Source organism: Homo sapiens, chromosome 1 (genome assembly GCF_000001405.40).
Source record: "Homo sapiens chromosome 1, GRCh38.p14 Primary Assembly".
Classification (NCBI taxonomy): domain Eukaryota; kingdom Metazoa; phylum Chordata; class Mammalia; order Primates; family Hominidae; genus Homo; species Homo sapiens.
This window is the reverse complement of record NC_000001.11, coordinates 10,309,473-10,324,537: the sequence shown is the minus strand read 5'-3', so window position 1 is coordinate 10,324,537 and position 15,065 is coordinate 10,309,473. Positions and strand designations below refer to the sequence as shown.

The 15,065-nt window shown below is 42.2% G+C and overlaps 1 protein-coding gene across 3 annotated transcripts in view, besides 2 other annotated features; it reads right to left on the bottom strand.

Annotated features, from left to right (window-relative positions):
- The window catches only part of KIF1B (kinesin family member 1B), a 171,034-nt gene that overhangs the window by 57,066 nt on the left and 98,903 nt on the right, over window positions 1–15,065 (bottom strand). For all 3 annotated transcript variants that reach the window (NM_001365951.3, NM_015074.3, NM_001365952.1), the window contains 3 exons: window positions 4,402–4,495; window positions 2,681–2,829; window positions 476–654 (listed from right to left, as the gene is read on the bottom strand). In NM_001365951.3, the coding sequence (NP_001352880.1) occupies window positions 476–654; window positions 2,681–2,829; window positions 4,402–4,495 (422 nt within the window). The remainder of the gene's footprint in view (window positions 1–475; window positions 655–2,680; window positions 2,830–4,401; window positions 4,496–15,065) is intronic.
- Window positions 6,016–6,557: an enhancer, noted in NCBI's record as "OCT4-NANOG-H3K27ac hESC enhancer chr1:10378039-10378580 (GRCh37/hg19 assembly coordinates)". NCBI's record gives its function as "activates a minimal SCP1, AML or CMV promoter by ChIP-STARR-seq in naive H9 embryonic stem cells {active_cell/tissue: H9 hESC(naive)}" and the evidence as "EXISTENCE:reporter gene assay evidence [ECO:0000049][PMID:30033119]".
- Window positions 12,781–12,981: a silencer, noted in NCBI's record as "peak67 fragment used in MPRA reporter construct". NCBI's record gives its function as "represses an SCP1 promoter by STARR-seq MPRAs in K562 erythroleukemia cells {active_cell/tissue: K562}" and the evidence as "EXISTENCE:reporter gene assay evidence [ECO:0000049][PMID:32103011]".

The following is a 15,065-nucleotide window of genomic DNA, read 5'->3' as shown; positions in this document are numbered from 1 at the left end:
GGCCACCTATCCTCTACCGGGTGAAAAGTCATAAGGGGGAATATTGTAGGTCAACTGTATGTGACATCTCAAATACACTGAGACGGGGGAAATACCTCATTATACTACATGTAAAAGAAGCCAGATTATAACTTCCATGTTTATTATTGATTATCCTGAGGTCCAGGATAGAAAAAATAAATAAGTTCCAAATCTGTAACAGAAATATGATGAAACTGGAATATTTAAAATTTATAAGAGGGTCTATGGAGGGTAAACTTAAATATCTACAAATGTCAGAGTGTGTGAGGAGTGCATTTATTCACTTAAAAGAAAACAGATGGATGGTAATACCATTGGCCAACAACAGCATTTAGAAAGTACAGGGAAGTAAGCAACAGTGTCCTCAGAGAGAGGAGAGCTGGAGGGAGCTCACTTGAGCAGGTCATTGTTATTTCCTAAATAAAACAACCAGCCTTTATGAATGTTTTCATACTTGAGTTTCTCCAAAGACCAATAGTGTGTTGCTCCATTCTTCAAATCCTGGACTTCTACTGCTACCACTGTGCGAGGGAAAGGCCTGTCCTCATGAGTTTTTTCCATCTCAGTGGGAAGTAATTCAGGAGGCAAAGGGGAGTACAGTGTGTCAGTCAGCAGAACAAACTGAAACTGCACCTGAATAGAAAGAATAAACCATTGACAAATGGTTTTCAGCAAGCAAGCTTCAGAGATGAGACGATACAATCATACCCAATGGGAAAGAGGTCGAATGTGCTCAACAAATATCTTGTGACTAACTTTCTACTGAAAAATATGGCCACCTGTTAGCAGTCATAGGGAATAACCCTAACTTCAAATTAAGCTATTTAAGGACTTTGTTTTCCTAGCCTGGCAGTGTTTTTGCACATACGAAAATCTTCTTGAGGGGAGGCACGGTGGGGACAAGGTTACACTCTGTCACCCAGGCTGGGTGCAGTGATGCAATCACAGAGCACTGTAGCCTCCACCTCCTAGGCTCAGGTGATCCTACCATCTCAGCCTCCTGAGTACCTGGGACTACAGGCATGCATCACCAGCCTAGCTGATTTTTAAAAATTTTTTGTAGAGATGGGGTTTAACCACATTGCCCAGGCTGGTCTTGAACTCCTGAGCTCAAATGATCCACCCACCTCGGCGGCTCAGATCACAGGCACAACCCACCACACCCGGCATAAAATCTTTATAAATACATTTTGATTGAATGAATGAAGACTTTTATAGAATTTATACCAGAGAACAAAAGGTCGACCACAAAATGCATATCTAGTCCCTCACTAATGAGAGAGGATGAAAACACAGCAAGGTTTCCCATTTTAAATTCAGAGGATTGCAACTACTGCTCTTAAAAGCATTTATTTGGCTGGGCACGGAAGTTCACACCTGTAATCCCAGCACACTAGAAGGCCGAGGCGGAAGGATCACTTGAGCCCAGGAGTTTGAGACCAGCCTAGGCAACACAGTGAGACCCTGTCTCTACAAACTGAGCCCAGCCCAGAAGGTGGAGGCAGTAGTGAGCCATAATTGCGCCACTGTACTCCAGCCTGGGCGACAGAGCCAGATCCTATCTCATAAAAAAAAGTGTTTAATAAATATGGTTTTATAAAAGTGTTTAATAAATATGGTAAGTACTTCACGACATTGCATCATTTATTTCTCCCTACCACGTTATAGTTTCACCAACAATTATTAAACAATTATTTAATATTAATTAAATGCTATGCACAGTAGTAAGAAAAAAAGACAGTTACTGCCTTTATTTAGTCTACTTGAGGAGAGGAGTGGCTAATAAATAATTATAAAATGAGAAAGGCTGCCAAGATTATGAATGAAGAACATATCGTATTCCCTAAAACTAGAATTTAGTTCTAGGAGAAGATAATTAATTTCCCCAAAGTTAGGTGGTCCATGCTCTTACCTACTACACAATATGGTCTTCCACTGTAATCTTAGCAGTGAAGAAACTGATAAACACGGGGGCATACAGAAGACTGAATCTAAGGTTTGGTGTGAAGTTTTGGTAATACTTACAAAAATGAATAACATTTATTGCCTTTTACCATGCCAGACACTATAAGTGCTTTATGCATATGCCCATTTTCATTCCTCACAAAATCCCTTGGTGCCAGGTACTGCTGCCAACCCCATTATGTAGATGGGGGAATGGAGGCACAGGGCTAGGGGGATCAACACCACTCGTGGAGCTGGGACTGGAACCTGGACTGTCTGGGTCCAGGGTGCATGTGCTTGTCCACTACACAGCAGTGCCTCTCAGACCCTAGAGGAGAAGCAGATCAATGGCAAAGGGGCATACCAAACTTAGAGGTGCAAACTTAATAACAGAAAAGTGGAAGAAAATTAAAATTATTCAGAAACCCAAGAGAAGTATTTTTCTATTACTATGTTTCTCCAGTTTTTGTAGGAATATAGTCTATTTGTAAAATAAGCTAGAAAACATGTTTTAAAAATTTTATTTAACAAAAATTTAATTAGCACCTACTATGTTCCAGCCACATATATTAAATAAAGACATATATAAAGCTGTTTTATAGCACAAAGCAGCTGAGTTCCCCCAAAGGAAAGGTTAATTCAAGGTGAGAACCCAGATGCACCCACAGCAGGCTCGGCTTTGCCTCCAGCTCTCCTGTGTCCTCCTGCTCCATACCTTCTTTTTCAGTTCCACACTGATGGCATTGGCCTCCTTTAGGTACACGGCATTGCCCCAGAGTAAGTCCCGTAATGAAGTAAACTGATGAGACTTCCATTTCCGGAAGGCCCATTGGGCCAACTCAAATTCATGCTGTGTCCAAGGAACTGAAAGAATGAATGATGCATATTTAATGGCAATCTTACAACTATATAAAAATTACACCTCTCTTCTAGCTTATCTCTTTTACCAAGGTGAGGTGTTTTCCAGTTTCTCTCCATTCAGCTGCTTTTGTTTCTTTTTAGTAAAGCTTACCAAATTCTGTTGATATTATGAAAGCAATATATACATTTCAGAAAATCTTTAAAAATCCTACTTTTGTATTTATTTAAAATAGTACAACAAAGAAATAAATTTTTCTTTTTTTTAAAAAAAGGTATAACATGTGGCCACAATAAAAAAAAATACTCCTGGCTAGGCACAGTGGCTCACGTCTATAATCCCAGCACTTTGGAAGGCAGAGGTAGGCGGATCACCTGAGGTCAGGGGTTTGAGGCCAGCCTGGCCAACATGGAGAAACCACATCTCTACTAAAATTACAAAAATTAGCCAGGCGTGGTGGCACACACCTGTAGTCCCAGCTACTCAGGAGGCTGAGGCATGAGAATTGCTTGAACCCAGGAAGCAGAGGTTGCAGTGAGCCAAGACTGCACCACTGCACTAAAGCCTGGGTGACAAAGTGAGACTCTGTCTCAAAAAAAAAAAAAGACAAACTCCTGACCTCTGTTACATTGTATGACTTCATATATTTCTTTTTTTTTTTCTGTTACAGAGAGAAAAAAGGTACCATCTCACTTATTTAAAAATAAGAAATTGGCTGGGCGCAGTGGCTCATGCCTGTAATCCCATTACTTTGAGAGGCCATGGCAGGCAGATCACCTGAGGTCAGGAGTTTGAGACCAGTCTGACCAACATGGTGAAACCCCATCTCCACTAAAAACACAAAATTAGCTGGGCATGGTGGCGCATCCCTGTAATCCCAACTACTTAGGAGGCAGGAGGCGGAGGTTGCAGTGAGCTAAGACTGCACCATTGCACTCCAGCGTGGGCGACAAGAGCAAAACTCTGTCTCAAAAATAAATAAGTAAATAAATAAATAAGAAATGTAATACATAAATTAAGAGTTCCTTCAAAGTTAGTTTGAAGCCTTGAGATTGCCAAGAGGTTGGGTAGAAAAACGAATTGTGGTAAGTGTTCATACTGCATTATAAGGCAATAAGTAATAATGAAAGCCCTAACTCAACTAAGAAATGCTGGAAAACCTAAGATAGGCAAACATGACTAAGCAATATGATTAGAAATTTGCCAGAAATGGCTTCAAATTGAACAGACTGTCTTAACAAAGATTCAGCTCTATATTTGTAATGGATATCTAAAAGTCACATCTACAGCAATATGAGAGACAGTGCAGGTCAACTTCCTAAGGGATTTAAATGAACGTGCTCAGAAACCGTGCGAAGGTCTAAGAACACCATCACTCCCATCCCCACCTCATAAAATACAGCCTGGATTCTCAACACTGCACATCTATTCAATCATCTGTAAACTGGCTCAGTAAAATGTCAATAAATGATAGGGCCAACTAAGAGGAATCCAGCTTTGATTATGCATAAATGACTAATTTGATAATATAACTTCAAAAAGATATACACAGGAAACTTTCGGTCTCTAGATTTCACCTTCTTCCTCTTCTTCCTCCTCTTCAGTTGTTTCTGCAGCCAGAGATCGGGTTTCAACCTGCTTCTGCAAGGCCTGCAATTTACTCTCATAGTCCTGAATGAAAAGAAAGGAGATAACATGTAGGAGAGGGAAGAAATAAGAGGGCAGGGAAAGAGAAATGGAAGGAATATTGGGGGAAGTAGAGAAAGCAAAGGACAAGGAAAAGAGACAAAGGCAGGAAACAATAATAAAAAGACATACAGGGAAATGTTTAGGAAAAAAACCCACAAAGCACACAAGATGGTCTGTAATGGGTAAATGTTAAAAAGAAAAAACTCACTGCAGTATGTTTCTACTCCCTCAAAGACTCAAGAGTTCTTCATCTGGGGTAGTGGTAGGAGAAAGGGGGAATTTTTAGGTGAAATAACACGTGTATACCTTAAGCGTTAGAATATATTCAAGTAATATCTTATATATCAATAAATTCCAGAGAAAAACAATATTGAAAAAGATTAAATTCACCAGTATCATCAAAAATCTCAATTATCTAACTCTTTGGAAGGAAAAAAAATTAAGATTGTAGACTTTGATGCTTCCTCTTTGTGAAAAATTACTATCTTTGATCAGTAGGATGAGTTTAGCCTTCAGGTAACCAAAAGCTCATAGTGCTATTAGGACTGAAATAATTTATAGACTGCATTTAGTTATTCAAGTAAGACACTTTATTTTCAATATGCAACTATAAGATGGATTACTGACCGGGTGCAGTGGCTCACACCTGTAATCCCAGCACTTTGGGAGGCCGAGGTGGGTGATCACCTGAGGTCGGGAGTTCGAGACCAGCCTGACCAACATGGAGAAACCCTGTCTCTACTAAAAATACAAAAATTAGCTGGCCATGGTGGCACGTGCCTATAATCCCAGCTACTTGGGAGGATGAGGCAGGAGAATCACTTGAACCCGGGAGGCAGAGGTTGAAGTGAACAGAGATCGCGCCACTGCACTCCAGCCTGGAGACAGAGCGAGACTCTGTCTCAAAAAAAAAAAAAAAAAGGATTATTGTAATACAAATCAGATGTATCCTTCATTTTTCCATCTACTCCATGCGTTTTTCAATAAGGGTAATATCACCCCAAAGGGGCCAAAAAATGGTTCTCAGAGGATGAAAAAAATCTTAGTCTTTTAATATATGAAGTACAAATATAATCAGTATACAGATATGTAGTATATCTGAGGTATTAAACTCTCATGGTGGGCAGAGAATAGGGGACAAATGTCTAAAAAGTTTCCTTAGGTTGTTAATTTGAAAAACTTGAATTTTAGTGAAAATAAAATAAGTAGGGTTAAGAAAGAGACCTTCAAACAGCGCAATACTAAATTACAGCATAAGCATAGCATTTTAAGATTTACTGCCAGGGTTTCCTCCTTCTTTTTTGAGATGGAGTCTCACTCTATTATTGTCCAGGCTGGAGTGCAATGGCGCAATCTTGGCTCACTGCAACATCCACCTCCCGGGTTCAAGCGATTCTCCTGCCTCAGCTTCCTCAGTAGCTGGGACTACAGGTGCCCGCCACCATGCCCGACTAATTTTTATATTTTAGTAGAGATGGGTTTTCACCATGTTGGCCAGGCTGATCTCGAACTCCTGACCTCACGATCTGCCCACCTTGGCCTCCCAAAGTGCTGGGATTACAGGCGTGAGCCACCGCACCCAGCCCTGCTTCTTTTGGTTCCCTAGCAGTGACCCAATTACAGGCTGTCATGAGACAAAGGGTATAAGTATGACTATCCACTGTTTCCAAACAGAGCTCTCCAAGTCCCACATCAAACATTCCATGCATCATAAAGCACTGCTGAAAGCCATTTAGCAAACTCCATTACAAAAGGAGCTCCCAAGCAATGCTCAGAAGGATGCAAATATCCTCTATGGTTCTGGTCGTTTGTCAGTTATTCTCACAAAGGAAGTGTTCTCTTTAGATGGGCAGGCAGTGACCAAGACCACGAACCAACTACATAGCTTTACTAGATATCTAAACACACTTTTTTAGGAGACTACATGTTATGAAAAAAAAGAAAAAAAAATTAAACTGGTAAGAGGCTTGGGTTTGGGGTCCTGGCACTTGTTCTTACTAGCCTTCTAATTCTGAGAAAGTTAAATTATCTCTAAACTTCACCTTCTTCATCTTTAAATAAAGATTTTAGCATTTGACCTGCCTACCCACACAGTACTAGAGGAAGGACCAAGAGATGAACCATTTTAAAAACACGTGAAAGCCCTCTTACATGGTAATACAATATCAAAATGTCAGGCAATTTTTTTTTTTTTGAGGTGGAGTCTCGCTCTGTCACCCAGGTTGGAGTGCAGTGATGCGATCTCGGCTCACCACAACCTCTGCCTCCCAGGTTCAAGCGATTCTCCTGCCTTAGCCTCCCAAGTAGCTGGGACTACAGGTGCACGCCACCGTGCCTGGCTAATTTTTTGTATTTTTAGTAGAGACAGGGTTTCACTATGTTGGCCAGGCTGGTCTCGAACTCCTTACCTCGTGATCCGCCCACCTCGGCCTCCCAAAGTGCTGGGATTATAGATGTGAGCCAGTGCGCCTGGCCTCAGGCAATGTTTTTTTATAAAAGGTTATTGTTTAAGCATACTTAGCACCTAGATCTTGGTTTCTAAGTACCACTGCCACTGAAAGGAACCAGGGTTCCTTGAAAAAAATAGCTGCTTCCAGGTCTGAAGCAAGGAAAGTACAAGGTGAGTCTGAAATATTTTGTGTCAGAAAGGATGGAAGAACTCAAACACCACTGGGGCCATTTCAAAAGGACACAGGATCCCACTGGCCAATAAATCAACAGAAAAATAGCACAGTACATTGAATATAGAAAGAATTCATGATTCCATGGTGATACTGAAAGAAGGAGAGAAAAAGGGGAAACTCTTCTTTAAATAAAAATTTTTTAAAAGCTAGCTAATTACCAGGCATGGGGCATGCACCTGTTCATTTCAGCTACTCGAGGCTAAAGAGGCTTGGGTTTGGGGTCCTGGCACTTTTTCTTACTAGCCTTCTAATTCTGAGAAAGTTAAATTATCTCCCAAAGTGCTGGGATTACAGGTGTGAGCCACCATGCCCAGCCCCTGGGATCCCTGGAGCCCAGGAGTTGAAGGCTGTAGTGCGCTATGATCAGGCCTGTGAATAGCCACTCCAGCCTGGGCAACACAGCAAGATCCCATCTGAAAAACAAAAAAACAAAAAAAAGGTGGCTAATAAATGCAGAAGAAATGGCAATTGGAAAATCACCATATTGCAACCCCAGATGTAATAACTGAATCAAGAAAGGATAATAAATACTAAAATAGGCCAAGCACAGTGACTCAATGCCTATAATCCCAGCACTTTGGGAGGCTGAGGCAGGCAAACTGCTTGAGCCCAGGAATTCCAGACTGGCCTGGGCAACATGGCCAAACCCCATGTCTACAAAAGAATACAAAAATTATCCAGGTGTGATGGCACACACCTGTAGTCCCAGCTACTAGAGGGGCTGAGGTAGGAGGATCACTTGAGCCCGGGAGGCGGAGGGTGCAGTGAGCCGAGATCGTGCCACTGTACTCCAGCCTGGGCTACAGAGCAAGAGACCCCATCTTAAAAACAACAACAATAGCAACAAACAACAAAAAGCTAAAATAATTGAGTAAAAGATGCATGGGAAACAGGATATGCATACGATCCAAAGTCCATGCCCAGATATCTATTTAAGAAGGGAAATGATATATTTACAATGCAGAGAGCTGGGAAACATCACATTAACCAAATTTACCAAACTTTAACATTATTGATAATAGGACAAACTGACATTTTATGTCTACTGATGTGATGCAACAGGAAGTACACAACATCACCATTATAGCAATCTTTTTCCTTTTTTTTGGAGAAAGGGTCTCCCTCTGTCACCCAGGCTGGGGTGCAATGGTACAATCATAGCTCACTATAACCTTGACCTCTCAGGCTCAAGTGATCCTCCTGCCTCAGCCTCCCAAGTAGCTGGGACTACAAGAGTGAGCCAACGTGCCTGGCCCCTTCATAGCTTTTTTTTTTTTTTTTTTTTGAGATGGAGTTTTGCTCTGTCACCCAGGCTGGAGTGCAGTGGCACAATCTCAGCTCACTATAACCTCTGCCTCCCAGGTTCAAGCAATTCTCCTGCCTCAGCCTCCCAAGTAGCTGGGACTACAGGTGTGTACCACCATGCCCAGTTAAATTTTGTATTTTTAATAGAGAGGGGGTTTTACCATGTTGGCCAGGCTGGTCTTGAACTCCTGACCTCAGGTGATCCACCCGTCTCGGCCTCCCAAAGCGCTGGGATTAGAGGCGTGAGCCACTGCACCCGGCCCCTTTATAGCATTCTTAACAAAAAGATTTAACTTGAATCTAATACTGAGGAAATAATCAGACAAATCAGAATGTGGCCTAGACAATTCAAAAATACCAGTATAATGAAAGATTTAAAAAATCATAACCAAATGAAATATATAAACCTTGACTGGATCTTGGATTAAAACACTCTCTTTCCTAATTTTTGATTTAATTAACGAAATTTGAAAATGGACTGTACATGATATAATATTGAATCAATATTGAATCAGTATTAAATTTCCTAGATGGGATAGTGGTATTAGGAGAATATTCCTGGCTGGATGCAGTGGCTCATGCCTGTAATCCCAGCACTTTGGGAGGCCGAGGCAGGCAGATCACCTGAGGTCAGGAGTTCAAGACCAGCCTGGCCAACATGGTGAAACCCCATCTCTACAAAAACACAAAATTAGCTGGGCATGATAGCAGGTGCCTGTAGTCCCAGCTACTTGGGAGGCTGAGGCGGGAGAATCACTTCAACCCGGGAGGTGTAGTTTGCAGTGAGCTGAGATTGCACCATTGCTCTAGCCTGGGCAACAGAGTGAGACTCCGTCTTAAAAAAAAAAAAAAAAAAAAAAAAAAGAATATTCTTGATTTTAAGAGATAAGCATGGAAGTATTTGGGGTAAACTGCCATGATATCTATAATTTTCACATAATTCAGGAAAAATATATAAGTATGGGTATACAAAAGTTCATTATAGTTTTTTTTTCAGCTTCTCTGTTTCAAATGTCTCAAAAAGCTGGGGAGTCGGGGAAAAACTATACATTACATGGAATTATTATAGCAAAAAGAGAAAGCTGCTGCTTTACCTAAAAATCATCAGGTAGAAAAAAAATGTTAATACTTTATCTTGAGGATTTCTTCAAGAATAAGTTGACAGGCTGGTCAAACTACCAATGAATACAAAATTCTCAGACTCTGACAGTTAAGGTATGAGGATGACCTTCCCTAACAGCTGTGGCTGTGCTTTAGTAACCAAAACTAACATGAAAAGATTTCCCATAGCCCTATGAATCTAAAAAGTTTAACTGGGCCAGGTGTGGTGGCACATGCCTGTAATCCCAGCACTCTGGGAGGCAGAGGCGGGTGGATCACTTGAGCTCAGGAGTTTGAGACCAGTCCGGGCAACATAGTGAGACCCTGTTTCTGCTAAAAACACAAAAATTAGCCGGACTTAGTGGAGGGCATATGTAGTCCCAGTTACTCGGGACGCTAAGGTGGGAGGATCACTTGAGCCCAGGAAGTGGAGGTTGCAGTGAGCCAAGACTGTGCCACTCCACTCCAGCCTGGAGGACACAGCGAGACCCCATCTCAAAAACAACAACAAAAACAAACAAACAAAAAACTTTAACTGCATTTTGACCACAATTGATAGTCAAAATATCAACATCATCTATTGAATTGGCCCCCTCCCCAAACCAGGCTACTTACGAGCTTTTAAAAAGGACACTGTATATCATCACCATTTCCCACAACAAATGGCTAATTAATGAGATTCACATACTATCGTTCTGTTCATTTTGTGACAAAAACTAATTACGGAAGGCACATTAAAAAATAATATATTTTGGCTGGACGCGGTGGCTCATGCCTGCAATCCCAGCACTTTGGGAGGCCGAGGCGGGTGAGTTAGGAGTTCGAGACCAGCCTGGCTGACTGGTGAAACCCCATCTCTACTAATGATACAAAAATTAGCTAGGCATGGTGGCACATGCCGTAATCCCAGCTACTCGGAAGGCTGAGCAGGAGAACTGCTTGAACCCAGGAGGCAGAGGTTGCAGTGAGCCAAGATCTCGCCACTGCACTCCGGCCTGGGCAACAAGAGTGAAACTCTGTCTCAGTAATAATAATAATAATAATAATTTTTTCAGTAGACATTTATGTTTATAAGAAATCCTAATGGCCAAGCACGGTGGCTCACGCCTGTAATCTCAACACTTTGGGAGGCCAAGGTGGGCAGATCACGAGGTCAGGAGATCAAGACCATCCTGGCTAACACGGTGAAACCCCGTCTCTACTAAAACTACAAAAAATTAGCCGGGTGTGGTGGTGGGCACCTGTAGTCCCAGCTACTCGGGAGCCTGAGGCAGGAGAATGGTGTGAACCCAGGAGGCGGAGCTTGCAGTGAGCCGAGATTGCGCCACTGCACTCCAGCCTGGGCGACAGAGCGAGACTCCATCTCAAAAAAAAAAAAAAAAAAAATCCTAACTAGTTCAAAATATGCCCCATATTTATAAAGGCACAGCACTGGCTGTTCTCTCTACTAGAATGTTCTCTCCTACCTATCTACCCCGGTTTTTAAGCTTATTTTGTATCAGGAAGTGTTCTTAATGTTAAACATGAATTATTACAATCTTCTCAATAACCTTATAAAGATGGTACTAGGCTAGGCGTGGTGGCTCATGCCTGTAATCCCAGAACTTTGGGAGGCCAAGGTGGACGGATCACCTGAGGTCGGGAGTTTGAAACCAGTCTGGTCACCATGGCAAAACTCATCTCTACTAAAAATACAAAAAAATAAGTAGGGCGTGGTGGCGTGTGCCTGTAGTCTCAGCTACTTGGGAGGCTGAGCCACAAGAATCGCTTGAACCAGGGCAGCAGAGGTTGCAGTGAGCCAAGATCGTGTCACACACTCCAGCCTAGGTGACAGAGCAAGACTCTGTCTCAATAAAAAAACAAAAAACAAAACAAAACAAAAAAATAAAGATGGTACTATATAGTTAGCCTCATGTTAAAGAGAAAGAAAGAGGTTAAGCAAATGCTAAAAATGAGACTTGAGCCCAGGCAATCCAGAGCATGATTTTTAAACCATTATCCATCCATCCACTCAGCAAATACCTTTTGTGCTCCTACTATGTGCCAAATGCTAGTGGTCAATAAGACAAGGGTTCCATTGACAAAGGAGACAGAGATGATAAAGAGTAAACAAAATATAGATGGATTTTAGTGGCGAGTACTAGTATGAAGAAAGATAAAGATAGGGTTAGAGACTACCAGGGAGAAGAATGGGAGACAGACTTCTAGACTGAGTAGGTTAAGCAGGCAGAGGTCTTTGGCAGGGGTTATTCTACTCAAATTCATAGTAACAGCAAGTGCCAAGGTCCTGAAATGGAAAGGGGCACCACATATTTCAGGAAAAGCAAGAAAACTTGTGTGGATGGAATGGCAGAGTAGGGAGACGGGTAGGAGATGCATCAGATGTAATCAGGTAGCAAATGGAGTACAGATGGCCTTATAGACCATGGTAAGGTCTGGGGATATTATTCTAATGGAAACTGCTGGATGGTTTAGAGCTGGGATATGTTTTAAAAACATTATTCTCTGTGGGACTCAGGAGGAACTATGGAAATAAGAAGAATGGTCATGAGGCTGTCACAGCACTGTCCAGCACTGTGGTGGCTTGGACCAGGTTATTAGCAGCAAAGGTGGTGAAAAGAGATGGAGTCAGGATATGTTTTACAGGGAGAGCAAACAGGATCTACTGATGATCTGATCATGGGATGTGAAGAAAAAGAGAAACTAAAGGTGACTTGGATTTGTGGCCTGAGCTAGCTGCTCCAGTTCAAATGATTTAAATGTAAGGTGCCTGCCAGTGATTTGGATGTCAGGCAGTAGTTGTGTATCATCAGCATCTAGAGCTCAGGGTAGGGGCCCAGGCTGGAGAGAGAGGACACCTGAGAGTCAGCAGAAGGCGAGGCAGGGCAGAGGTTTGCAGACAGAATGACTCCCTGGGACTGGCTCTGGCTCTCCCGCTGAGTAGCCGTGTTACACTGGGAAAGTATGTGAAAAGGGAATAAGCAATACCTACCTCACAGAAGAGGGGTGTTGTGAGGACTCAATGAGTCAAAACATGTAAAAGGTTTATGTGTATTAATACATGTAATACATGCTCAATATATGAGTTATCATTATCTTCATCATCAGTACAAAAATGGAAGGGGGAACAGAGAAACATATAGAAATAGCCAAGGTCTGTGTCCACAGACCATGATGGAGCAGCTGGAAAGGTTCAAGGAAAAGAAGCCAAGAGAAGAAAGTGTCCCATGAAGAGCAGACAACTGTGTCAAATGCCAGAGACATTCAGTAAGATGAGGACTGAGAAAATGCACTGAATCTATCATCAAGAAGAGCTTTTGTGACTCTGATAAGAGCAGCTTTGGTGGTGAGGGGAGAACAAGAGTCTGACTAGATGAGTTCCAGCAAGAATGAGGATAGGAAATAATGAAAAGAAAAAATGGGGCCTGGAGCGGTGGCTCACACCCGTAATCCCAGCACTTTGGGAGGCTGAGACAGGTGGATCACCTGAGGTCAGGAGTTCAAGACCAGCCTAGCCAACATGGTGAGACCCCGTCCGTCTCTACTAAAAATACAAAAATTAGCTCGGTGTGGTGGCGTTCACCTGTAGTCCCAGCTACTCAGGAGGCAGGAGAATTACTTGAACCCGGAAGGTAGAGGTTGCAGTAAGCTCAGATCGTGCCACTGCACTCCAGCCTGGGTGACAGAGTGAGACTCTATCTCAAAAAAAAAAAAAAAAAGAATGGGAGGTAGGCAAGTAGGACGTAATAAGTACAGAAAACTTTTGCAACTGGTGACATGTTTGCATGCTGGCAGGAATAATCCAGGAGAGAAACTGATGATGTAAAAGAGAAGGGGGTAAATGTTCAACAAGTTCTTGAGAGGGCATGGAATGCAGGGAGCAAGGGCTGGGCTAGGAGAGGATCAAGGACAGTTTATCCACTAACAGGAGGGAAAGCCCAGTACAGGTATGGATGGATGATGCAGGCAAAACTAGACAAAGGAAGAAAACAAAGTTTCTTCTGATTGCTTTTTTTCCTCAGTGAAACAAAAACATTGTCAGCTAAGAGCAATGAGAGGCCACTTTTCATTCCCAAAGGCACCCGTTAAACCCTTTCAGAGCACCTTGTGTTTTTCCATCATGGCACTTGTCACAAATGTACTGACTCACTACTGGTGTGGTTATTACAGCTGTCTCCCTCCATAACTCTGAGAACTTTATGAGGCCAGGGACCACACATTTGTCACTTACCACTCATCCCAGCAACTGGCATGTATCTGTCTTCTAGATTACATACACAGTCACATACTGATCTTTTAGATAAATATTTATCAGAAGTAGCTATCTTCTAGATCGGGGTCGGCAAACTATGGCCTTCGGGCTAGATCCAGCCCACTGCCTGTTTCTGTAAACACAGTTTGACTGGAACACGGCCACCCTTGTTCATTTCCATATTGTCTATGGCTGCTTTCGTACTACAACAATAGAGTTGAACAGTTTCACAAAAAAGACCACATGGTCCACTAAGTCTAAAATATTTACTATCTAGTGTTTTACAGAAAATGCTTACCAAGCCCCCATTCCAGATCACTGGTTATCAAAGGTGTTTACTGGACCAGCAGCATCAGAATCACCTGGGAATTTATGAGGTATGCAAATTTATCAGGTCTCGCCCCAGACCTAGTGAATCAGAAACTCTGAAGGTGGGCCCAATAGTCTGTGTTCTCATAAGACCCCAAAATTCTAACTGACATTAAAGTTTGAGAACCACTCTTCCAGGTTATGGATTTATATGACTGGCGAAGTGAATAAGACAGATACGGCATTTATTCTAGGTGAGTTTACATTCTCGTGGAAGAACCAAACAAATACAAAGAAAAGATAATTACAGGCCATCATTATTAAAACAGTGAGTCAACTTGTGGTGGGCTGGGCAGAAAGAGCTGAGGAGCTCAAGTCTGGAAGGGGAGGTAAGCATGATGGAAATGGGCTCCAGGCTTGAGAAGTGCAAGAGCCCAGAGGTGGGAAGAAACTTGGCATATACAAGGAACAAAAAAAAGGGCAGAGTGTCTGTGGTGTGAGAGTGACAGTGTTAAGAGTGGTAGGTAAGCAGCCAAAACATGTAAAGCCTTGGAGACTACAGTAAGACTAAGATTCTTTCATGCAATGGAAAGCCCCTGAGGACACTGACAAGATATGATTTATGTTTTTAAAAGATGATCTTGGTTGCTATGTGGACATTGGATTATAGGGGTCAAGAATAGAAGCAAAGAGACAAGCTAGGGTACTCTCGATGAGAGATGATGGTGGTACAATTAAGGCACCTCTGAGAAGGTGATATTCACAGTAAAATCAATATCACCATTCTGAGTTTTCCGGTTAGGCTGTTTTAGACATTAAAGGCTTGGCTCCTAATGGCAGATTATAATTAGCAAGCAATAGCTGGAAGGAAAATATCCACACCCAAGATGACACCCCAGTT